Source organism: Homo sapiens, chromosome 20, assembly GCF_000001405.40.
Source record: "Homo sapiens chromosome 20, GRCh38.p14 Primary Assembly".
NCBI lineage: Eukaryota > Metazoa > Chordata > Mammalia > Primates > Hominidae > Homo > Homo sapiens.
This window is the reverse complement of record NC_000020.11, coordinates 49,632,851-49,657,745: the sequence shown is the minus strand read 5'-3', so window position 1 is coordinate 49,657,745 and position 24,895 is coordinate 49,632,851. Positions and strand designations below refer to the sequence as shown.

The 24,895-nt window shown below is 43.2% G+C and overlaps 1 protein-coding gene across 3 annotated transcripts in view, besides 1 other annotated feature; it reads left to right on the top strand.

Moving 5' to 3' along the window:
• Positions 1–24,801, top strand: part of B4GALT5 (beta-1,4-galactosyltransferase 5) — an 80,934-nt gene extending 56,133 nt beyond the window's left edge. Inside the window, exons 1-9 of one of the 3 annotated variants that reach the window (XM_047440588.1) lie at positions 346–368; positions 1,044–1,178; positions 10,668–10,781; positions 14,096–14,220; positions 15,162–15,278; positions 17,081–17,268; positions 17,946–18,068; positions 20,304–20,405; positions 21,287–24,801. In XM_047440588.1, coding sequence (XP_047296544.1) covers positions 1,061–1,178; positions 10,668–10,781; positions 14,096–14,220; positions 15,162–15,278; positions 17,081–17,268; positions 17,946–18,068; positions 20,304–20,405; positions 21,287–21,434 — 1,035 coding nt within the window. In that variant the 5' untranslated portion in view covers positions 346–368; positions 1,044–1,060 and the 3' untranslated portion in view covers positions 21,435–24,801. Of the gene's footprint in view, positions 1–345; positions 369–866; positions 889–1,043; positions 1,179–10,667; positions 10,782–14,095; positions 14,221–15,161; positions 15,279–17,080; positions 17,269–17,945; positions 18,069–20,303; positions 20,406–21,286 lie in introns of those variants that run through there. The other 2 variants (XM_047440587.1, NM_004776.4) reach the window with 2 other exon arrangements.
• Positions 20,742–21,242: an enhancer, noted in NCBI's record as "H3K27ac hESC enhancer chr20:48253041-48253541 (GRCh37/hg19 assembly coordinates)". NCBI's record gives its function as "activates a minimal SCP1, AML or CMV promoter by ChIP-STARR-seq in naive H9 embryonic stem cells {active_cell/tissue: H9 hESC(naive)}" and the evidence as "EXISTENCE:reporter gene assay evidence [ECO:0000049][PMID:30033119]".
• Positions 24,802–24,895: the final 94 nt, after the last annotated feature.

Here is a 24,895-nt window from a genome sequence, read left to right as displayed (position 1 = left end):
TCCACATCCCAAGGCCAGATGTATTGAGTGTGGAGGAGGCACTGGGGCCTGGTCCCGAGGTTAGCCAAGCGGTTAGATGAATCCACCCCCAGACACCCACAAAGTTTAGATTTGTAAATGTTCCACCCCTGTAACACATCCCCCTTTCACAATGACAAAGGCAATTTGAGGGAATTAGAGTGACTGGTTAAGAAACTATGTTTTACAATCTCACTGTTTCTTGAAAATAGATGGCATAGCAGTGGAGTTTGCAAGTAGAATATAGGGATTACATTTTGACGTGTTTGTGAGCTTCTAGTTTTGTATCATAGAGAGACTTCAGGAAAATGCAAGTGGAGATCACTTTCCAAAGAAGACAAGATTGGCAGGTTAATCTGAACACTCATTTGTTAAGAGCATGTTTTAATTGACCTTGGACTGTGCTCTTTCCCTATTGCTTTGGACTTTTGGGCTGGGATGGGTGGATAGTGAGGACTGCAAATAGTCTTTCGTTACTCCTTTTTCTTTCCAAATCTCCCAAGGGTAAGTGATTGGAGCCTCAGTCTACCACTTTGAAAAGGTTGCCAAGACCAGACCGTGGCTTCAGACCATGGCTTCAGTGCTTCTAGCAGTCAGAGAGTCAGTGGTTTCTTTTCTCTATGAAGAACCATGAACTAATTCTGAGAAGGTGAACTTAAAGAGAGCAGAAACCTTTAAAAAAAAAAAGTTTTAACTAATTCATAAAGGTCTTTCTTCTGATGATCAGAGTGCTAGAATACAGATTGGGTATTTGGAGAAGAGATGGAATATATTTTTTTTTAAGTTGATGCTTTTTCTAGAACTGTTGGATATTGACAGAAATTCCTCTAAGCTCTACTAGCTACCCAAAAGATGTTGGTGTCCTGAAAGGTATGGAAAATAGAGTTATGGTCATGTAGGGTTTTAAAAGAACTAAAAGAGGCTTTAAAAGTCCAAAAAGAAAAAAAAATCCATAGCTATGTGGTATGTTTTTTTAAATGATTGCTTCTGAATCCACCTCTTTTTCCCCTTTTTGCTTTCTGCAGTGAACACCTACCTCTTCATGATGCAAGCCCAAGGCATTCTGATCCGGGACAACGTGAGAACAATCGGTGCTCAGGTTTATGAGCAGGTGCTTCGGAGTGCTTATGCCAAGAGGAACAGCAGTGTAAATGACTCAGGTATATTTTTAGTAAAGAGGTGGTCTGATTAGAATGTCTCCTCCCAAGAGAGGTAAATTCGGTTGCAATAATTATTTTCAATGGGAAAAGCGCATTGTAAAAGAGGGATTTGGCTGAGTTTTACTTTACTGCTAAAAAAGCTCTTGCCAAATGAATCCTCGTTCATTTTTGTTAACAATATGACTCAGTCTGTTTGTGTTGCTATAAAAGAGTACTTGAGGTTGGATAATTTACAAAGAAAAAGGATTTATTTGGCTTATGGTTCTGCAAACTATTCAAGAAGTGTGATGCCAGCGTCTGCTTCTGGTGAGGGCCTCAGGCTGCTTCCACTCTTGGTGGAAGGGGAAGGGGAAGCCTGTGTGTATGGTGAGAGGAAGCAATGTGGCAGGTGAGAGGAGGGCAGGGCCAGGCTCTTCTTAACAACCAGCTCTTGTGGGAGCTAATAGAGGAGAACCTACCGCAACAGCAGCAAGCCATTTGTGAGGGATCTGCCCCTGTGAACCAAACACCTGCTGTAGGCCCCACCTCCATCATTGGGGATTACATTTCAGCATGAGGTGTGCAGGGGACAGACATTTAAACTATAGCATAATACATTAAGAGTGACTGGATGACTACTTCTTTTTTTTTTTTTTTTTTGAGACGGAGTTTTGCTCCTGTCATCCAGGCTGGCATGCAACGGGTGATTTCGGCTCACTGCAACCTCCACTTCCCCAGTTCAAGTGATACTCGTGCCTCAGCCTCCTGAGTAGCTGGGATTACAGGAGCATGCCACCATGCCTGGCTAATTTTTGTATTTTTAGTAGAGATGGGGTTTCACCATGTTGGCCATGTTGGTCTTGAACTCCTGACCTCAAGTGATCTGCCTGCCTCGGCCTCCCAAAGTGCTGGGACTACAGGCATAAGCCACTGTGCCAGGGCTCTTTCTTTTCAACTCTTTCAAAAACTGAATACAGGAAGGAAGTAATACTTCCACATGATTAAGTGGGACTCTCTTGAGGCCTCTCTAGTCCAGCCAGGGATGGTTTTTATTTAAAAAATAGATTCTGAGATTTCATCTTACTAAGGATTCATGATTCGCCTCATTTCTGTAACTGAGGACTAATGTGCTTTCTGGGTTTGTTTGGGTTTTTTTGAGATGGAGTTTTGCTCTTGTCACCCAGGCTGGAGTGCAGTGGTGTTAATCTCGGCTCACTGTAACCTCCACCTCCCGGGTTCAACTGATTCTCCTGCCTCAGCCTCCCGAGTAGCTGGGGTTACAGGTGTGCGCCACCATACCTGGCTAACTTTTGTATTTTTAGTAGAGACGGGGTTTCGCCATGTTGGCCGGGCTGGTCTCAAACTCCTGACCTCAGGTGATCCGCCTGCCTCGGCCTCCCAAAGTGTTGGGATTACAGACATGAACCACTGTGCCCGAGCTTTTTTTTTTATTCTCTTGAGATGGCATCTAAGTTTGTCTCCCAGGCTGGAGTGCAATGGCATGATCTTGGCTCACTGCAGCCTTGACCTCCCAGGCTCAAGTGATTCTCCTGCCTCGTCCTCCCAAAGTGCTAGGATTAAAGGTGTGAGCCACCGTGGCTCATTTTTTGTATTGTTTGTAGACATGGCTAATTTTTGTATTTTTTGTAGACACGGCTTTCACCATGTTGCCCAGTCTGGTCTTGTACTCCTGAGCTTAAGCGATCCACCTGCCTTGGCCTCCCGAAGTGCTAAGATTATAGGCATGAGCCACCATACCCAGCCTCCTATGGCTTCTTAATGATTTCGTCTAAGCCCAATATTTTAAAATACTTACATTTAAAAAAAAATTCTCCCTCTAAATCAGTCCTCTCTTCTTCTCTAATAAGTTACAAGATTTTTGGAAGTTCACTGTCGAATGTGAAATTGCTTTGCAAATGTTGCAAATGCGAATTATTCTGTGGCGCTTAGAAAATCAAGAGAAAACATTGCCTCTCTTAAAAGAATTGCCTCTCCTTAAAAGAATTGACCACATCCTAATTTATCAGTTTCCTTTGCCGTCCACTTTAGCAACAGAGGACTGTAGTTAGCAAACTGATAAACTTTTGATACTTTCTTGTTGGCAAAGAACAAGTGAATGACATTTCAGAGCTTTTTAGACAAATTGTGGTCGCACTGGGTCAAGTTACCTGAGCTCTGAACCATACCTGGGAGAGGAAACCCTGCAGTTTCCGTCTTGCATGTGGTGGTAGGTTTTGCACAATCCGCACACACATTCTCACTCGACTCATGTGGCTCTGTCAGTTAAGGCAGAATTTTATGCTGTTTGCATTTTTCACACATAGTACATATAATCTTGGGGAAGATGGCGCAGCTTGATCATGTGACTCTTTCCCTAAACCCTGCCAAAATCCTGCTTCTAGTTAGGTGAAGAAACGAGGCAGTACTGACTGCCCTTCCAGAGCGCTCTCCCCTGTATAGCACTGAGTAAGGGAACATTTGTGTCCTCATGACATTTATCCAGTCCAGATGTCATACTTCTGCAGTGTTAGATGAGGCTGGAATATCTGTCTCTCTGGGCATTTGGCAGTACTGGCAGTTCTCTCAGAAGTTAGAGGGGCATGCAGCAGGACCCCATTTCCACACCACTGCCGGTCTGGCAACACAGGATTGCGCTACTTCCTGAGTTGCTGTCTTTGAAAACTGAGTACAGAGGTGAGTTTCACCCTTGGAGGGTGTATCCAGTGACCCGTTATTATTGAACTTGGTGTACTTTTATTCTCAAATTATCATACACCCAAATACCTTTTCCTTGCATCTCTCTGGTTAGAACAATCTATTTTTTGTTAAACGTGTTTATTTCTCTAATAGATTGGAAGTCTGTGCCATCAGGGACTCTCTTACTGTTTATTAGATACTTGACTTACATGATTTCATGTAGTCCCTCACAAGAACCCAGAAGGTAGCTACTGTGTCCCCATTGTAGGGATAAAAGGAACAAGGCACATGGAAGTCATGGAACTTGATGCAGCAGCAGGGTTAGGGTTTGCTGATTCTCTGACTCCAGGGCCTGTGCCCTGAATCGCAGTAATGGCTTCATTCCTTTTGTCATCTTTGTATCCTTAGTACCTTATACACTGCCTCGCACATAGGAAGCACTTGGTAAGTTATTTTTGTATGCATGAAGGAATGAATTTAACAAGAAAGCACGTCTTAAGTGTTGTAGCATGTTTCTAAGGAGGTCACCATCTTGTGGAGCTGCTGTGTCACTGGCACATCTTTGGCGAGTAAGTACAGGTTGAGCATCCCCAATCAGAAAATACCAACTCCAGACTGCTCCAGAATCCACACATGATGAAACCTTGAGTGCCAACACGACACTTGAAAAAAATACTCAATGGAGCATTGCAGATTTCGGATTTTTAGATTGGGGTTGATCAACTGGTAAGTATAATGCAGATATTCCAAAATCCTAAAAAATCAGAAATCTGAAACACTTCTGGTCCTAAGCATTTCAGATAAGGGGATACTCAACCTGTACTGAAAAGAAAATAGCATTTCACTGAAAGTGTATTTAATGAAAACCCATCATTCTTCTTCATTTCAAAGCAGTTGTCTACCTAGCACAGTCAGAGAGGGTATTCTGGGCCCAGCACTGCTGAGACAGCCAAATGACTGACACCTCTGGCCCGACCACTTCTGCCTGGAGCACTGTTGGCTTAATGGTGGTAACCTGGATTATGCACCATCCTCTGCTGAAATAATGCTGAGGCACATACCCACATTCAGGCATCTGCATTAGGCCAAGCATAGCTCAAAAGCCCAGGGTGACATTTAAGTCATGCTGGTTTTCTTTAAGTTTAAAAGCAACATGGTGATTAGTGAATGAAAACAGACTTTTGGGGATGGGGTCTGTGAACCTGGAAATAAACCTGAAGTGGTGACCAGGAGAAGCTTCCTGTTGTCACTGAAAGCCATTGGTTTGTGAGATTGTGAATCTGCAGAGTGAGTAAAGTCATGCTGGTGTGCTTTGTAATCTATTAATGGAGTGGGTCATCTTCACCTCTTTCTCGGTGGTTTTAGATGTCCAGTCTGTAGTCTTCGATGTGGCTACCCTCCCAGTAGGTAGTCATCCTTTAATGGACTAACTCTTGAAGAATGCTAATTCTTTATATTTCACAGATATTTGTCCCAGTGGCATCTTTCTAGTATATATAAATTTCCATATTTTTTTCAAGCAGAGAGGCAAGTGTTTGGTCTTTTCTCAAATGGGAGGGGAAAGTGGTGATTCTTGCTGGGGTCCATTGGTCAGCACTTTCGATTCCTTCTCAACTGGATTTGGTAACACAAGGGAGAAGGCAGGTTTTTACCTCCTCCAGGTATTAGGGTAGCAATACCAAGCTTAGCTATACATTGGAATTCCCAAGGACGTTTCCAAAGTACTGATGTCTGTGCCTGACTGCTAGCGATTCTTATTTAATTGGCCTGAGGTATAGCCTGAATGTTAGAATTTTGTTTGTTTGTTTTTGTTTTGAGACAGTCTTGCTCTGTCACCCAGGCTGGACTGCAGTGGCACCATCTCAGCTCACTGCAACCTCCGCCTCCTAGATTCAAGTGATTCTCCTGCCTCAACCTCCTGAGTAGCTGGGACACCAGGTGGGTGCCACCACCCCCGGCTAATTTTTGTATTTTTAGTAGAGATGAGGTTTCATCATGTTGCCCAGGCTGGTCTGAAACTCCTGGCTTCAAGTGATCTGCTCACCTCGGCCTCCCAAAGTGCTGGGATTACAGGCATGAGCCACCACACCCGGCCTGGTGTTAGGATTTTTGAAAGCTTCTTAGATGATTCCAATGTGCAACCAAGGCTGCTGAACCACTGGTGTGAAGCAATGCTGAATAAGCAGTTGCTGTTGGACAGAAATGTTGGTCTGCAAGCCCATGATATCAGTAGCCATTTGAACCTGTAGGTAGGAGTCTGTTGTTTTCCCATTTTCTATCTATCTATCTTCTTTTTTTTTTTTGAGACGGAGTCTCGCTCTGTTGCCCAGGCCGGAGTGCAGTGGCACGATCTTGGCTTGCTGCAACCTCTGCCTCCCAGGTTCAAGCGATTCTCCTACCTCAGCCTCCTGAGTAGCTGGGATTACAGGTACCCACCACCATGCCTGGCTAATTTTTGTATTTTTAGTAGAGATAGGGTTTCACTATGTTGGCCAGGCTGGTCTCAAACTCCTGAACTCAGGTGATCCACCTGCCTTGGCCTCTCAAAGTGCTGGGATTACAGATGTGAGCCACTGTGCCTGGCCTGTTTTCCCATTTTCTTTTTTGAGACAAAGTCTCGCTCTGTTGCCCGGGCTGGAGTGCAGTGGCGGGATCTCGGCTCACTGCAGCCTCCACCTTTTGAGTTCAAGCAATTCTCCTGCCTCAGCCTCCTGAGTAGCCGGAGCTACAGGCGCATGCCACCGTGCCTGGCTAATTTTTTGTATTTTTAGTAAGAGACACAGTTTCACCATGTTGGTCAGGCTGGTCTGGAACTCCTGACCTTGGGTGATCCATCCGCCTTGGCCTCCCAAAATGCAGAGATCACCGCGCCCGGCTTGTTTTTCCATTTTCTAAATGTAAAAGCAGCTGCCTTCTTTGCCCTTCAAGAACATGTCCAGGTTTGAAATAGATTAGATTTAAATTAAAAAGTAAAACTGTGGCTGTAGAAATTCAACAGGCTTGTTTTTCTCTCAGCATTTTCCTCATTCAGTAGGTACATGCTTTAGAAGAGTAAGAAGTTATATTTGGAACTCCAAGGGGATAAGGTATAACCCCACCCGTTGCTGGACAGCTAGCAGGGGAGAAAAACAAGGGCTCCTCACGATAACTGCACATAGTTTTACCAGGTCGTGAGCAATTAATTTCCTCTGTCTCTTTCATTTTAAAAGGCCTCTATTGCTACTGAAAAGCAGACTTTGTTTGTTTGTTTGTTTATGATGGAGTTTTGCTGTTGTTGCCCAGGCTGGAGTGCAACCGTGTGATCTCAGCTCACTGTAACCTCTGCCTCCTGGGTTCAAGCGATTCTCCTTCCTCAGCCTCCTGAGTAGCTGAGATTACAAGTACCTGCCACCATGCCCGGCTAATTTTTGTGTTTTTTTTTTTTTTTTTTTTTTTAGCAGAGATGGGGTTTCACCATATTGGCCAGGCTGATCTCGAACTCCTGACCTCAAGTGAGCACCCCACCTTGGCCTTCCAAGTAGACTTTATTTTAATTAAAGTTTTATTTAAAAATTTTTAAACAAGAAATCAGGAAATTAAGCCACCCCTCCCAAGATGTAGAGTAAGTTTCTGGAAGATTTTTGCAATAGAGTTGTTGCGTATTTGAGGATTCTTAAAACAGTGACATATTATTAATTTAGTAATCAGAAGAAAAATAAATGCTTTTTTTTTGTTTCATGCTAGGTGCTACCAGGCTTACTGTATCATTGTTTGAAGGAAGTAGAAAGGAATTTATCTATCTTCAAAGAAACTCCAAATAGTAGAATCATTAGAGTTAGTGATATCTTGTCTCTTGCCTCATGTTTTTTAAATTCTAGTTTCCTGATTAGGTTCTAGCTCTAGGGCTTGGGTCAGTCATTGACCAGAATGATTATTATCTTCGTTTTTGTTGATTTGTTTATGAAAATATACTTAGTGTAATACTTTTGGGAATTTCATTGCCTTCTAGTGAATGTATTGACTGTGCCAATACATGTTTCCAGCCAGCGTCTCTTGCCACACATGGGCGTATCACAAACACAGGCACATTTTCTATTACTTGTGAGGTCTTTTAATTTTTTTCTAAAGGAGAATAATTTCATCTATTAGATTCATCCTGAGTAATAATTAGGATGAGGGGTTCTTCACATAGATTTTTGAAGTAGTTACTACCTTCAGAAGAAGATTCAACCCAGGCCAGGTTTGCATGTATGAGCTGAGCTCAGAGAATTTCTGTGTAAATATTATCTTTAAGGTTCTGTCTTGGTTCATGTTTTTGTTTTTGTTTTTTTTTAAGATAGGATCTCATTCTGTCACCCAGGCTGGAGTACAGTGGTGTGATCATTGCCCACCGGAACCTCGACCTCCCAGGCTCAGGTGATCCTCCTGCCTCAGCCTCCCGAGTAGCTGGGACCACAGGCGCGCACCACCAGGCCTGGCTAATTTTTAAAATTATTTGTAGAGACAGGTTCTCAGCATGTTTCCTGGGCTGGTCTTGGCCTCCTGGGCTCAGGCAATCCTCTTGCCTCAGTCTCCCAAAGTGCTGGGATTATAGGCATGAGCCACCCCACCCAGCCTGGTTTATGTCTTTATATAAATTAGTCTCTACTATTCTCTATAAATGCAGGCTTAGTGTTTTTCAGGAAAGCTACTACTGAAAAGGACAGAAAGCATTCTGTTCCTTCCCTTGTTAAGACACAGTTAAAATTTTCAAGTTGCCTCTCGTTGAATTTTGCCCCAGAGTACTTGCAGAGTAGGCAGCGCAGAGTAGGCAGCCGTGTGCATATATAAAAGGATTCAATGTGTTAGCCATTTGATTCTTGGAAACCTGCTCATAGTGCTTTTTCAAAAATATCTTAGTTGAAGATTCTAGAATTCTAGGGTACAAAGTGAATTTGAACAGGATGTTTTAATTTTCATAGAATCAGCATGGATCCAAAAGGATTTAATATTCTGTGAAAAAAATAAAAACAATACAGTATACTGGAAGGATCTCTCATTCAGAGTTTAGTTGGAGCTCTGTCATGCATTAGCCAGGGCTCCTGGTCTGAGTTCTGTGTATGTTGTTCCAGTTATTCATCTGTAGAAAATGAGGTTGGAGGACCCTCCTCCTACTCTACAAGTACAGTCCCCTAGGAAAAAGACATCTGCCATCACACTCTTCATATCCACTAACGTGACTCTAAAGGGGCATACATATGTGAGGGTTTTTAAATTATAAACCCTTGAGAATGAGAACACAAAAGGAGACCACAGCAAAAAACCTTGGTAGGTAGAAAGCAGAAGAACCACTGATAAAAGACTTAACAAACCCAAGAAAACTGACTGCTCAAAGCAGCAACAGGAGAACCAGCAACCACCCCAGGATCCCCCAGAAGCTCAGGAACTAGCAATATGGGAAGTAGGAGCAAAGGTGGCAACTAAAATAAAGGGAGATTGAAAGCTGTTAAAAAGCAGTCAGATACCCAGACCCATTTCCCCATCCTGGCAAGAGCTGGAGACTTAATAACCCCAGAGATGGCAAAACAGAGGCTCCTCAACCTGGGGATACCTGGCATGACCACAGTATTTGAAAAGATGGGGATTACATATGCCCCAGCCTCTTTCTCTTCTTTCTTAGTTTCAGGATGTTTATAGTCAGGACTCTACCATTCTGGCAGGAGATTCGAGTGGATTTCTCTGGAGAATCTGGTCAGACCAGGAGAAAAGACCCAAAGATATTGACACTGGAGATACCAATAAGAGAAAAATGACTGCAAACATGAAACAAGAATATAGTAAGAAATGAACATTCAGGAAACAAGAGCTCTTCAAAGTTAAAAAATATGATAGCAGAGATGATGATTAAAGGAAGGTTGAGTAAAGTTGAGGAAATCTCTTGGAAAGTAGGGCAGATAAATGGCAAGACGGAAAACTGGATAGAAAAGATGAGACAGAGGACTGGGAGGTCTCACATCCAACTCCTGTTCTGTATTCTCCAGAAAGGCAGCACAGAGTACAGAAGGGAGGAATCATCACCGAGAGAATACCTCCCCCCAAGCACATTTGGCATGGAAGAAGGCCAGAAGCTGCCACACCTCCTCTGGGAGGATGAAGTTGAGAGAATACCTAATGTATGTCTTAGGAGGAAATGTCTTGGTGAAAGGCGTGGTGTTGAATTAGAATCATTGCATATAAAACTGAGCAAACAGAAAAACAAGATGCATAACTTTCCACATTTCTCAGCGACGACTAGTACTTAACAGCAGCATCGTAATACAAAGACTGAAGATTGTCCTAACCACAGCTATGATATGTGACCGATGGGAGACTGGGGAATGGAAGGGGATCGTGTGGCAGGGGTGGCAGAAGGAAGGGGATAAGTGGGAGGTCGGTAGGTAAGACTGAAAACAGAAACATCACGACCAGCCGTAGAGGCTGACAGAGGTGAATACTGCATATAAATGCTGAGATACTTGGCCAAAAGAAGGGCAAGTGGTTCCTTTAGAAAACAGAAATGAGAGGAGGGCAACTGCTGTTTTTAAAATTACATTTAATTACAGTTGACTGTAAACTGAGTGCTGCATATAAACCTATAAAATCAATAGGAATAGGAACACTGGTTAAAATCTGCCATTTGGCTGACATTTTTATTGATGGGTTCACATTTTTAGCTGCATCAAAGCGGTAGTCCAGAGTCCTGTCTCCTTCTACCAAGATGATAGCTAAGAGAAAGACTTACTTGGTAGGCATCTGATAATTGCACGGTTGATCACACATACCAGTCTGATCGACTTTTTTCCTTTACCTCCCTAGATTATCCTCTTGACTTGAACCACAGTGAAACCTTCCTGCAAACTACAACATTTCTTCCTGAAGACTTCACCTACTTTGCAAACCATACCTGCCCTGAAAGACTCCCTTCCATGAGTGAGTACAGCTCTGGCCTGTCTTCCTCTGCTTTTAAAATGGATAAAGGGGAGGGCACTCTTGATCTCTCTGTCTGCCTGCAGAGAGAATATAAATACCTCCCTGCCATTGGAAACAGGGTTTGTGAAAGTTGTGCTCCTGGCTCCTCTTCAAAGCCTGCTGCAAGGTTGCCTGTGTTCTTGGGTGCCATTTTCTACCTTTCCTACTTTTTCACTCTTCCCTTTGCCCTTGCCTGTCCTTTGTAACTTGGGTTCTGTTTGAACTTCCTAGAGAAAGTATGAATACAGTCATTCATAGCTTAACAACGAGGGTACTTTCTGAGAAGTACATCATTAGGTGATTTTATTGTTGGGAGAACCTCCTAGAGTAAAATTCCACAAATCTAGATGGTGTAGCCTGCGACACCCCTAGGCTGTATGGTATGGCCTATTGCTCCTGGGCTGCAAACCTGTGCAGCATGGTACTATACAGTAATTGTAGCTCAATGGTAAGTATTTGTGTATCTAAACATAGAAAAGGTACAGTAAAAAATGAGATATAAAAGATAAAAAATGGTACAGCTGTGTAGGGTACTTACCATGAACGGAGCCTGCAGGAATGGAAGTTGCTCTGGTGAGTCAGTGAGTGAGTGAACGTGGAGTGAATGTGAACGTGAAGGCCTGAGACATGACTCTGCACTACTGTAGACTTTATGAACACTGAACACTTTGGCTGCACCAAATTTATTCAGAAAATATTTGTCTGTCTTTAATGGTAGATGAACCTTACTATTATACCTTTCTACTTTCTAAACTTGTGAACTTGTAAAAAGTTTTAAAAAAAACTGCAGCCTTGAACTCCTGGGCTCAAGCAACCCTCTTGCCTCAGCCTCCTGAGGAGCTAGGACTACAAGTGCCTGTTGTCAATGCCTGGCTAATTTTAAAATTATTATTATTACTTTTTTAAGAAATGGGGTGTTACTATGTTGCCCAGGCTGGTCTTGAACTCCTGGCCTCAAACAACCCTCCCACCTAGGCCTGGGCAACACGCTGCAGTGTGCCATGATCGTGCCACTACACTCCAGCCTGGGCAACAAAGCAAGACCCTGTTTCAAAAGGGTAAAATAATGATTTAAAAATATAGTATAATAAATATATAAACCAGTAACATAGTTTATTATCATTATCTAGTATAATGTACTCTACATAATTGTATGTGCTATACTTTTTTATTTTTGAGAGGGAGTTTTGCTCTTGTTGCCCAGGCTGGAGTGCAGTGGTGCCGTCTCCGCTCACTGCAACCTCTGCCTCCCAGGTTCAAGTGATTCTCCTGCCTCAGCCTCCCGAGTAGCTGGGATTATAGGCATCTGCCACCACGCCTGGCTAATTTTTGTATTTTTAGTAGAGATGGGAATTCACCATGTTGGCCAGGCTGGTCTTGAACTCCTGACCTCAGGTGATCCGCCCACCTCAGCCTCTCAAAGTGCTAGGATTACAGGTGTGAGCCACTGCTCCCAGCCTTGTGATACACTTTTATATGACTGGCAATGCAGTAGATTTGTTTATACCAGCATCACCAGAAACACTTGAGTAACACAACAATGCTATGGCAGCTATGTCATCACTAGGCAGTAGGAATTTTTCAACTCCATTGTGATCTTATGCAACCACCGTATATGCCATCCGTCACTGGTGAAAATGTCAAAGCACATCACTGTATAGGCAGTCAGCTTTGTCTTTTTAGTATAAACCTCTCACTGATTGTAGTGCTTGATCTTAGAGGTGGGGGTCTCACTATGTTGCCCAGGCTGGTCTCCAACTTCAGGGAGCAATCGTCCTGCCTCAGCCTCCTGAGAAGCTGGGACTACAGGCATGAGCCACCATGCCTTGCTTGGAAGTTATTTTCTTAACAAAGTGCTAGTTAAAACAATTCTTAGATCTTTTTGTTCTTTTTTTTGAATCTCGTGTAAGCTAAAACAAGGACAGTAAACTCTTATACCTTTCCTATACTTTTAGGCTTCTTAATATGGTTCCCCACTTCTTTTTTTAAAATTGTTTTTTTTTAAGAAGTGAGATCAAGAAAAGGAAAATCTTACATTTGCAAAGTTGACTTTTATGCACAAATATAGTGAAAATAGGGAAAATGTTAGAAATAGTCGTGCATGGTATTTGAACATATTCTCATCCATATATGAATAATTAATTATAAGTATGTAAGTTGTGTTGGAAGCCTTACTGTTTCATTTGCATGTCTCACCACACATATATAGGTTTTCCCTTTAAAACCTGCATTTGTCTGCATCTAGATGTAAGCTTAGTTTGGGAAGGCTGAGATTTGTGTATCAGAAATAGGCGTTGACAGGCCTAAAACTAATGTTATTAGTTCATTGTTTCAGTAGCATTTATTGATTGTTACTGTACCACTTCCTGACTTAAGTCAGAGATGACCAGCATTCTGAGTTAGGACATAATCACTCAGGGTCCTGACCCACTGGTGAATGGATTGAGAGAGGTAGTGTGGCTGCACTTGCATCAGGAGCAAACCTGACATGACTCTAAGCTCAGCTGCTTTTCTCCTTCTTCTCAGAAAAGCTCAGCTGCAGCCAGGTGCAGGGGCTCATAGCTATAATCCCAGCACTTTGGGAGGCCAAGGTGGGAGAATCACTGGAGCTCAGGAGTTCAAGACCAACCTGGGCAACATAGTGAGACCCTGTCTCTATTTATTAAAACATATTAATAAACAAAACAAAAAAAAAAGAAGGCTGGGCACAGTGGCCCACGACTGTAATCCTAACATTTTGGGTGGCCCAGGTGGGTGGATCCCTTGAGGTCAGGAGTTCGAGACCAGCCTGGCCAACAAGGTGAAACCTCATCTCTACTAAAAATACAAAATTAGCTGGGTGTGGTGGCATATGCCTGTAACCGCAGCTACTCAGGAGGCTGAGGCAGGAGAATTGCTTGAACCCAGAGGCAGAGGTTGCAGTGAGCTGAGATCACACCACTGCACTCCAGCCCGGGCAACAGAGCGAGACTGTCTCAAAAAAAAAAAAAAAAAAAAAAAAAAGCTCAGCTACTGTTTTACTTAAAGTTTTCATTTCTACCTGGCCCCTGACAGAAGCAGAACTCTAAAGTCTTAATTCCTTGATTTGCCTCTTCACCTTGAAAATAGTGAGGAACTGAAATACGGTGAGATGGAAAGCAGAGGAAGGGACTTCCATCCTTGCTAAAAACAAATTCAGCTGAAAAAGCATTGCGCTCTCCAGAGACTAAAACCCCAGGCATAGGGAAACCTATCATTTTCTGACCTCTTAATCCCTTTTCCCCGTCTCTGTTCAGAGGGCCCAATAGACATAAACATGAGTGAAATTGGAATGGATTACATTCATGAACTCTTCTCCAAAGACCCAACCATCAAGCTCGGAGGTCACTGGAAGCCTTCTGATTGCATGCCTCGGTGGAAGGTAGGGTGTGAAGTCACAGCCAAAATGCTGAGAAGCCCACCTGGGGTTTGCCTTTGGTCCGAATCACCATGGGATTAGCTAACCATGACATTTTGTCATTTTCATCCTACCATTCCATGCAAATGTAGAAACATTTTAGAGGAATGGGTTTCCACAAGGACTCTTTTTGTAGATACAGAAATTTGCATTATTCTGATGACCGAGCAAGACCCTTTGGTCTTCCCACCAGGAATATTAACAAAGCAAGGGGATGAGGGCGTTGGTGGTCTCTAATGACCCATTTGCAGAAGTCATCTACAGAGTCAGTGCTTCATTCCTGTTCTCCATTGGTTACTACAAGATTAGTGGATTAAAAAGCAAAGTTACCTGGCTTGACATTGAGATTTAGTTTTTTTCTGCCTGACCATAGTCAGAAGACATCAGTAGTTTTCGTTAAGCTGTGACCCCAGCTGAAGTCCATTCTTTCAACAAGTATCTATTAAAATGCGTATTCTGTGCCAGCCTCGTTAAGTGCTGCTGATGCAGCAGATCTGGAACACATCAGTATCCAGCCCATCGCTGGGAAATAAAAACAGTTGAATAACCAGCATTTGTACATTGCACATTGTAAGGGGAAATACTGTTTTGTGAAGCTTGTTTTAATTGTAAGTTTATAGATGTATTTTTGTCACAGTGTAGAATGTGTGTTTTCCTATGAGTTATGGCCTAGAATAAATTATAGGCCTACTATGTACTATAAGATATGGTATATGTAAGAATCACATTCATCTAGGTCCAAGGGCCAACTTGCCAACATAGATCTTTGTTTAGAGAAAGCTGAGGACAAGATAGCCAGCCTCCCAGAACTCCCATGGGTTGGTCAGCAATTCATCAGGGGTGTCCTGCTAAGGAGTGAAAGCTGAGAGTCCTAACTGTGCTTCTTTTGCTGTAATCCACTCCAGGTGGCGATCCTTATCCCCTTCCGGAACCGCCACGAGCACCTCCCAGTCCTGTTCAGACACCTGCTTCCCATGCTCCAGCGCCAGCGCTTGCAGTTTGCATTTTATGTGGTTGAACAAGTGAGTAGTCCTTTCTTTTCCTTTCTTTTTTCTCTTCTGAGACAGCAGTTTAGGTTGCTGCAAGCTAATCCACTGTTGGTGTGAAGAGCCAATAAAACTGAAATCTTAGGATCGAGTTGCCTGAGGTTTGAAGGGGGAGCAGAGAGCAATTCTGTGCTCCTGGTTTGAGATGTCTGTTGCCCAGTACTGGGCACACTTGAATCCAGGAGAGAGCTTTGTTGGCTCATGAACAAAGGCCTCTTGTATTATGGTTTTGTTGGTGCCTGCAGGCTCCAGACCCAGGAAGTTCCCCTTAAGATAAAGAGCTGCAGCAAGGTACAGCACAGAGGATGTGGCCTTGGAGTCAAGAGACCTCAGTGCTTGTCATGTCTGCTGTTAATCAACCAAGTGGCCTGGGACATTTGCAAACTTCTCTAAGCCTGAGGGTTTGGTTTTGTTTTAATCTTAAAAATATTGGTAGGGAACCAGATATAGAGGTCACAAACTGAAGAAGACCGCATGGCAAATTCAGTCTGTAAATCTTTTTTTTTTTGGTCCTGCATATATTTTATTTGCCTTTAGATGGAACATGACTGTCCTACTGTGGTTTTCTCTTGCCGGGCCTACTTTATATGTTTACATTACTGACTTGGCTTCTGTAGGCATTTTGAAGTATGTGATCCTTGAACTAGAGGTGCTATATCCATAGATAAACAAAAGGTTGACAGATTTCCCTGAATACACTGATCGTCAGTCTGAGGGTCTTTTGCATGCTCACCTCTCTCTATGGGCACACTTTTGAGTCTCACAGTCTGAGTTGCTGTTAAGTGGTCACCCTGGAGCTTGCCTTATACTGGAGTGAGAAAAAAGCTGAGCACCACTGTTCAGCAAGGCTGGGCATCTGGGAAATGCTAACGGTCTATCTGCCGGTCCTAAGTTGGGTATTTTGATAGTGGCAAGGGGGAGTCAATGTAGCTGTAACACTAATTAGGCTGTTAACTGATTTGAACTGGTTTCTTCATGAGCCACTGAATTCTTTGTCCATAGGCTTGAGTCCCTGGCATGCTCAGTGACTGTTGTCTTAGTTAGATCTTAAAAATAAAACAAGACAAAACTAAAAACCACTCTTTGTACTAGATTTGGTTTATGAACAGTTAGAGATTGGTTGATGTGCTGAAGAGCAAGTGGTAAGGAGTAGAAATGGTAGTGTTGTCTCTTCCCTTTGTGGAGCGGGGTACTCTTCTAAATGCTGGTACACGGTTGCATTTCTGCCTTCAGTAGCCTTGGGAGAGAGAAGCTTGCGTTTGCTATCACTTACATTTTTAAAGAAATTGGGGCCAGAGGTCCAGTGACTTTTTCTTTTTCTTTTTTTTGGAGATGGAGTCTTGCTCTGTCGCCCAAACTGGAGTACAATGGTGCGATCTTGGCTCACTGCAGCCTCCGCCTCCCGGGTTCAAGCTATTCTCCTACCTCAGCCTCCCAAGTAGCTGGGATTACAGGCATGCGCCACTACGCCTAGCTAATGTTTTTGTATTTTCAGTAGGGATGGGGTTTCACCATGTTGGCCAGGCTGGTCTCGAACTCCTGATCCGCCCACCTTGGTTTTCCAAAGTGCTGGGATTACAGGCGTGAGCCACTGTGCCCATGCCAGAGGTCCAGTGACTTCTGAGCCACACTGTGAGTTGATTTGTGGTGTTGGACCTGGTTACACTAGCCCAGTGATCTTTTCCAGTTGGTTCTAATAAACTCGTCTTTAGGCACAGGAAAGACAGCAAAGATTTTCCTTCAAGATTCTTTTAAAGATAAAGTTCTGTTTCTTTTAGGTTGGTACCCAACCCTTTAATCGAGCCATGCTTTTCAACGTTGGCTTTCAAGAGGCAATGAAAGACTTGGATTGGGACTGTTTGATTTTTCATGATGTAGATCACATACCGGAAAGTGATCGCAACTATTATGGATGTGGACAGATGCCGAGGCATTTTGCAACCAAATTGGATAAGTATATGTATCTGTGAGTATCATTTCTTCTTAATTAAAGAGGTTAAATCTGAAAGGATGGTGAGCGATGTGAAAAGGAAATCTAATTAGCTGCAACCTAGATGCCCATCAACTGATGGATGGATAAACAAAATGTGTGTATCCATACAATTGGAGCACTGTTTGGCAGGAGAAAGCAATGAAATACTGATACGTGCCAAAACACGGATGAACTTCGAAAACATTACGTTAAAGAAGCCAGACACAAAGGTTGTGTATCATATGATTCCAGGTGTCTGAAATGTCCAGAATAAGCAAATCTATAGTGACAGAAAGTAGATAAATGGTTATAAGGGGCTAAGGAGGATAGGAGGAGCAGGGGGTGATTGCTAATGGGTGCAAGGCTTTGCGGGGGACAGTGATGAAACATGTTAATATAGATTGTGGTCATGGTTGCACAATTCAGTGAATAAACTAAAACCATTGAATGATATACTCTAAATGGGCCAATTGTGTATGGGTATGTCAATTATATCTCACTAAAGCTATTAAAAATCAGTTTGCAAAAATTAATTTTGCTAATTTGATACATTCATATGGTTCAGGTCAGGAGCACAGAGAGCACTGTTTTTAGTCCTCAAATGAGAACCTTCTAGGGAAAACAGTTACCCTGTAACACACAGATGATTGATGTCCCACATCTCCTCCTAGGCTTCCTTATACCGAGTTCTTTGGCGGAGTGAGTGGCTTAACAGTGGAACAATTTCGGAAAATCAATGGCTTTCCTAATGCTTTCTGGGGTTGGGGTGGAGAAGATGACGACCTCTGGAACAGGTACCTCTGCCGTTCTTTCGGTGTCTTCTAGAAATGCTACCTTAGACTGCAGACCAATACTATCCGATAGGAATATAATGCAAGCCATGTGTGTAATTTAACATGTTCTAGTAGCTACAGTTTAAAAGGTTAAGGAAAAAAATGAAATTGACCAGCTGTGATGGCTCACACCTGTAATCCCAGCACTTTGGAAGGCCGAGGTGGGAGGATCACTTGAGCCCGGGAGTTCGAGGCCACAGAGAGCTGTGCCACTGCACTCTAGCTTGGGTGACAGAGTGAGACCTGTCTTAAAAAATACACACACACACACACACACACCACACACATCCAAGTTTTTAGAAAATATCTTTAATCTTAATTTAAAAATATCTTAATATCTTAAAAAACAAACTGTATATCCCAACAAAGCAGCTATTTTCATTTTTCTCCTTTGACATGCGAAAATCAACAAATTATAATTTAGCAATTTTTTCTTCTAATAAATAATACGTTCATTATAAAATACAAATGAGTATAAAAATAAATTACCCACAACAATAAGTAACATGTTACCATTTCATTGAGTTTATTTTGTGTTTAAAAAGTGGCAAGTGAACAGTAATTTAAAATCTCTGTGTGTCAGTTTTTAAAATCACAAATCTCAGGATTGTGAGGATTAAATGATGTAATGTGTATAGAGCTCTGGCATATCTGATATGTGATAAGCTCTCAATAGGTGTTACTGTTTTTATATCAACATTAAATACTCTGTAAACAGGATCTTAAGTGGCTCCATTTAATTCGGTTATATAGATGTACTGTAATTTATGTAACTATTTCCTGGTGTATATTTAGAATCTTTTCCATTTTCCACTATTTAGAGTGTGATATAGTAGATAATTCTTTTGCCTGTTATTCCTATTTAGGAAAAATTCCTATAAGCGAATGTAGTCATTTTAAGGCTCTTTTTTTTTTTAAGCTCTGTCCTTTAATGGATGCAAATAGGGTTTTTAAGGCATATTATAACTAAGTGCCCCTCCTGCTAAAGGTTCTAACAAAACTTTTCACTTCACCAGTGTTCTCTGTACTAAATGCCCATTTCATTGGAACCACTCCAAACTGAAGGGTGGAATATTAGTGATATGTCTACATAGATTTAGCTGCGCCATCACATAAGGCTTGTACTGTACAAGCTTGGGTGAACAATCCTGTGTGTGAGTGGAATAAAGTAATATTTTTATGGAGTAAGTAAACAGTAACCTCATAAGGAACAAATGCAAAATACTACCTGGTATCTGTTTCCTTTGTAGCTTGGCTTTTGAAAAGTATGTGTTTGTTGTTAATTACAAGGACTATTTTGCTAATAAAAATTCAAATGATAGGCTGAGCACTGTGGCTCACACCTGTAATCCCACCTCTTCACAAGGCCTAGGCTTGAGGATCACTTGAGCCCAGGAGTTCAAGACCAGTCTGGGCAACAGTGAGACCTTGTCTCTACAAAAAATAAAAAAAATTAGCCTGTTGTGGTGGCACACGCCTGTAGTCCCAGCTACTCAGGAGGCTGAGATGGGAGGACTAATTGAGCCTGGGAGATTGAGGCTGCACTGAACCATGATCACCTCACTGTACTCCAGCCTGGGCAACACAGTGGACCCTGTCTCTTAAAAAAAAAAAATTAGATGATACAAGTGTCTAAGTATTAATCCCCATTTTGATTCTATTTTATTCCCTGGAAGTAACCATTTCTTTCCGTACTTTTCTTTTCTTTTTTGAGACAGATTTTCTTTCTGTTACCCAAGCTGGTGCAATTTTGCTCACTGCAACCTTTGCCTCCCGGGTTCAAGTGATTCTCCTGTCTCAGCCTCCTGAGTAGCTGGGATTACAGACCTGCACCACCACGCCTGGCTAATTTTTTTTTTTTTTTTTAAGTAGAGATGGGGTTTCACCATTTTGGCCAGGCTGGTCTCGAACTCCTGACCTCAAATGATCTGCCCACCTCGGCCTCCCAAAGTGCTGGGATTACAGGCACGAGCCACCTAGCCCAGCCTATTTTTTCCGTTCACATAAAAACTTTAATTCAGTTAAAATTGAGTTTTAACTCAGTTTTTAAGAAATGACACAATGAGTCAGTTAAGCGGGTGAGAGCTTTTGCTGTGTGTGATTTCCAGGGTAAGCTTGTAACATGTCTTGTAGGCTTTGGTCACTCCTGGGCTATTACCGTTGTATCTAAAAGCCTGTTCTCTTGGTCTTGGACAGAGTACAGAATGCAGGCTATTCTGTGAGCCGGCCAGAGGGTGACACAGGAAAGTACAAGTCCATTCCTCATCACCATCGAGGAGAAGTCCAGTTTCTTGGAAGGTTGGTGGAATTTATCTCTGTCTCTTAGAAGTATCCCCTATACTTTCATGTCCGGATATCTTAGAGCATATTACAGCCCCTTCTCCTACTCCCCACCCCGAGGCCCTGTTCTGACAGCTGTTTGACAGCTGTTGCATGTATTCTAACTCTGAGGCAGAACAGTGTGGGGATCAGACCGTTGGTGAACATTTTCAATAGTAAGATTCTTCGAAGGAAATCACTTGTCCTATGTCTTCAGCCTTGTGGTCTCCACAGTAGCCTTTGGGGAATTTGGGAAGAAACAGCTTGGATGAAGGTCCCTGAGGTGACAGAGCAGTGGCGCCCTTTCCGCAGGCTCCCGTTCCGAATGGTGTCCTGAGCTTCTGTCTGGGTGGCTGCAGTTGCTGTGTTACCTTTTCTTTCTTTGTGTGTGTGTGTGTGTGTGTGTGTGTGTCTTTTCTAAATTGTGGGGAAGACTGTGCTCTAGACAACCAATTCTAATTGCTGAAATTCTGTTTTCATGGGAGTAAAATGGCACTGAATACAGAGTATGAACTTTCTCATCTGTTGTATTTTTAATGCTTTACCTCCCACTTCCCCACTCTCTGACCTTGGGCAAGTTACCTCACATTATTAAGCCTTGGCTTCCTCATTTGCTAGCAGGGGCTGGCGTGAGCATTAAATGAAATAATTAAGTGAAGCACCTGGCATGAAACACAGGAGGTGTTTCTGACCACAGCACTCAGCCTGGCATAGCAGAATTGGCCGTGCGCCCACCTTGTGCTGCAGAAGTGCTGCCATGGGTTGCGTCCTCTGCTGTGGGACGCCCTGCTCCATCCTCTGGCTGCAGAGGCATGGATCCTCACTCAGAGCCACCTCTTCTCTGTTCCCTCCCTAAACAGGTATGCTCTGCTGAGGAAGTCAAAAGAACGGCAAGGGCTGGATGGCCTCAACAACCTGAACTACTTTGCAAACATCACATACGACGCCTTGTATAAAAACATAACTGTCAACCTGACACCCGAGCTGGCTCAGGTGAACGAGTACTGAGAGGAGAGAATGTACGTTTGCTTTACCCACCGCCACCAAGAAAGCAGTCCGATGAGATTTTTTTTTGGAGGGGGGAGGGTCTACACAGCAAGAGAACAGAAATACTGTGTCTCATGAAGGATCACAGAGTTCAGGGGGAAAATGTGACAGCACACGCACAAACGCCTTCACTGGATCAGCCGCTGGAACTGAGGGAGTGAGCTTGGGGACTTCCTTCGTCAGCACTGGCTTTCTGTTTTCACAAGACAGACGTCTGTCCCGCTGCTCTCTCCCCATCTCCTACCCCACATCCTGTCTTAGCCGCAGTCTCCAGAACCCATGATGAACTGTGATCTGCCGTGGTCCTGCCGTGGTCCTGCCGTGGAGCCTGTCCCTACACATGACCTTGGAGCCTCTTGGCCTTCAGAGCAGAGGCAAACCCACCACAGGGCAGCTGCGTTTTAGGAAGAGCAAATGAAACTCCACACCATTCTTCTAGATCTCTGGTGTTCTCTTTGGTTTCATTTTTTTAAAAAATTACCTTCTTTGGGTGGGGATTGAGGGTGGAGGGGAGGGTGTTTGGGAAAGATAAATAGACATAAATATATAACAATCACTTCTTGAAGAAGTATAATTGTAAATAAGCCATGTAAAATGCCTTTTTAAAATTTAATTTTCTAGCTGGCTCCAATTCAAATTGAGGATTTATGTATTAGGCCACTTACTTGGTTGGCAAGTGCAGGAACTCAGTTAAAATGCAGTTGAAGAATGTCATCTCCCGAATTGCTGTCACTTTGGCGAGGGAGTGGATATAGGGCATGTCACAAAAGAACAAAATAACCCGACCTTTATTGCTGGGAGCTGGCTTCTGTCCCTTTCTTCCCCCCCCCACGAGTCTTGCCCTTGACTTCTGCTCTGGATTCACTCTTCCCTGTCGGCCGCGCATGTGCTCATCCCACTCTCCGCTAAGCGGGAGGCTGCTGTTAGAGCAGGCTGCTTCCTGCCTAAAGCAGGCCCTTCGGGGCTCGCTGCACACACATCTCTGGCTCTCCAGGCTTCGTGTTCTGTCTTTTCATCAGCATGGCGGGGCGGGGGGCGGGGGGCGGGGGTGTGTATGGGAATCCCTCCCCCTCTTACTTTTTCTCTTGTGGAACTTGGCCACAGTTTCTGAACAATGTGCCTACATTACCAGCTGGCTTCAGTGATTCCTCTGTGTCCCTTTTTGGTTTCTGGAAAGATTCTTTGTCAACATTAGTAACTGATACATAGAACCAAGGAGCACTCAAATAGGGAGCCAGGAGCCAGGGAGCTGGTGACACTTGTGTGCTGTGGGGCAGCTGGGATCCAGGTAAGACCGGATTGAAGCTTTGAAATTAGACTAACAAAGCTCCAGACAGCAAGAGCCCAGGTGCACTGCTCACACCCCCACCTGCATTTTGAAGTCATATTATTTTTTGTTTTGTTTTTTAAGACGGTCTGGCTCTGTCGCCTAAGCTGGAGTGTGGTGGCACGATCACAGCTCACTGCAGCCTCCATCTCCTAGGCTCAAGCCATTTTCCCACCTCAGCCTCCCGAGTAGCTGGGACTACAGGTGCACACCACCACACCTGGCTAATTTTTTGTATTTTTAGTAGAGACAGGGGTTTCTTCCATGTTGCCCAGGCTGGTCTCGAACTCCTGGACTCAAGCAATCCGCCCACCTTGACTTCCCAAAGTGCTGGGATTATGGGCGGGTGTGAGCCATTGCGCCCAGCCTTGAAGTCATGTTCTAAATTGTATTTGAATTTGTGCCTCTTTGTTTTTCCCCAAACCAAAGCCCTCAAATTGTAGTCTCTGTCGGCTTCTGCAGAATTCTGGAAAATGCCAGTTTTCCTCCCCCGCCCTTGTTTTCCATAAAACATATTTATATATTGTGATGAGGAGTACTTTCTGAAGAGTACTTCGTATTTTTTTTTAATTGCCTTGTTTGCCTTCAACTTCCTTGATTTTCATAGTTTACATGGGTGTGTGTAGGGGTGTGTGTGTGTATGTGTGTGGGTTAGGGCTTTTTTCGTTGCATGTGATGGTTCTGTGGACATATGATCCCCACAAACTGTGGGAGTGATTGGCCAGGCCTTGTTTTGTTTGTTTGTTTGTTTGTGTTTTTGTTCTTTTGAAGAATAGAGTGGTATTTAGAAAATAAATTGCATTGCAAAGCTCTTATCGGCTCATATGAGAGAGCAGGTTCCTGCCCTTGAAAATGCCGGTAAGCTATAGCATATGTTTTTTAAGACTTAAGCATTTCATGCTTTAAAATACCTTCACAAGTGAACATTACACACAGAAGTTCATTTGGTTTTCCTTTGTTTTATGGTGCATATAGCAATAAAGACCCCCCTCCACCCTGCAACCCCCATCCCCCACCGGGCCTTTGTCCCTGCCTTGGCTTTTCTCCCCTTCTCATTCTCCTCTCCCCTTTCCTCACTGAAGGCTGTGAGTTGCTTTCAATGTGACAACACTATGATGTCATTTGGAAGGATTTGCCAGGACAGACTGATTCTGAGTCCTGGGTGCCGTATGTGTATGCGGCAGTGTTGTCAGGCGATCTTGTTTGAAGCTCTATGTTGCCATAATTACCATCAAGTACACACTGTTGGCAAAAGGCTAACACCTGACTTTAGAAAATGCTGATTTGAGAACAAAAGGAAAGGTCTTTTTTCACTGCTTAAAGTGGGGTCACTTTGATACCTTTGCGGTCATGTCTGTGTCTGATGAGTGTAGAATCTCTGGATGTGCACTGTCAGTCATGTGTCCACCAGGCCTCGAATATCATATGGGAAATGTCATAGTTAAAAACGTACAGCCAGGCCCGTGTGCTGTTAATAGTGTGAAATTGTCATGTTAAAAAAAAAAACAGGAACCAAATGTGACCTTGTGCATATATTGGTAGCTGAAAATCTTCAAGGCTACTGATGGGTGGCCCCTTAATCTTGTCTTTGATTGCTGTGTGCAGGGAAAGGTGTCCCCGTTTGTTCATGCTGTTTTGGGGGGTGGGGGGGTATTTGCAAGAATACTCATTTTGACATAATAGGTCCTCTTGTCAGAGATCCTCTACCACAGACATTAATAGCTGAGCAGGAGCCACATGGATTGATTGTATCCACTCACCATTGACGATGGCATTGAGCGTAGCTAGCTTATTTCCATCACTACGTGTTTTTGAGCTTGCTCTTACGTTTTAAGAGGTGCCAGGGGTACATTTTTGCACTGAAATCTAAAGATGTTTTAAAAAACACTTTTCACAAAAATAGTCCTTTGTCATTACATTATTTACTCATGTGTTTGTACATTTTTGTATGTTAATTTATGAATGATTTTTTCAGTAAAAAATACATATTCAAGAACCAAACCTTGGTGGTCATTTCTCTTTGTGTAGGACAGTTTGGGTCCTTGGGGGTCTTTCCTTTTTCCTTTCCTTTCCTACAGGAGTTCAACTTAAGGCA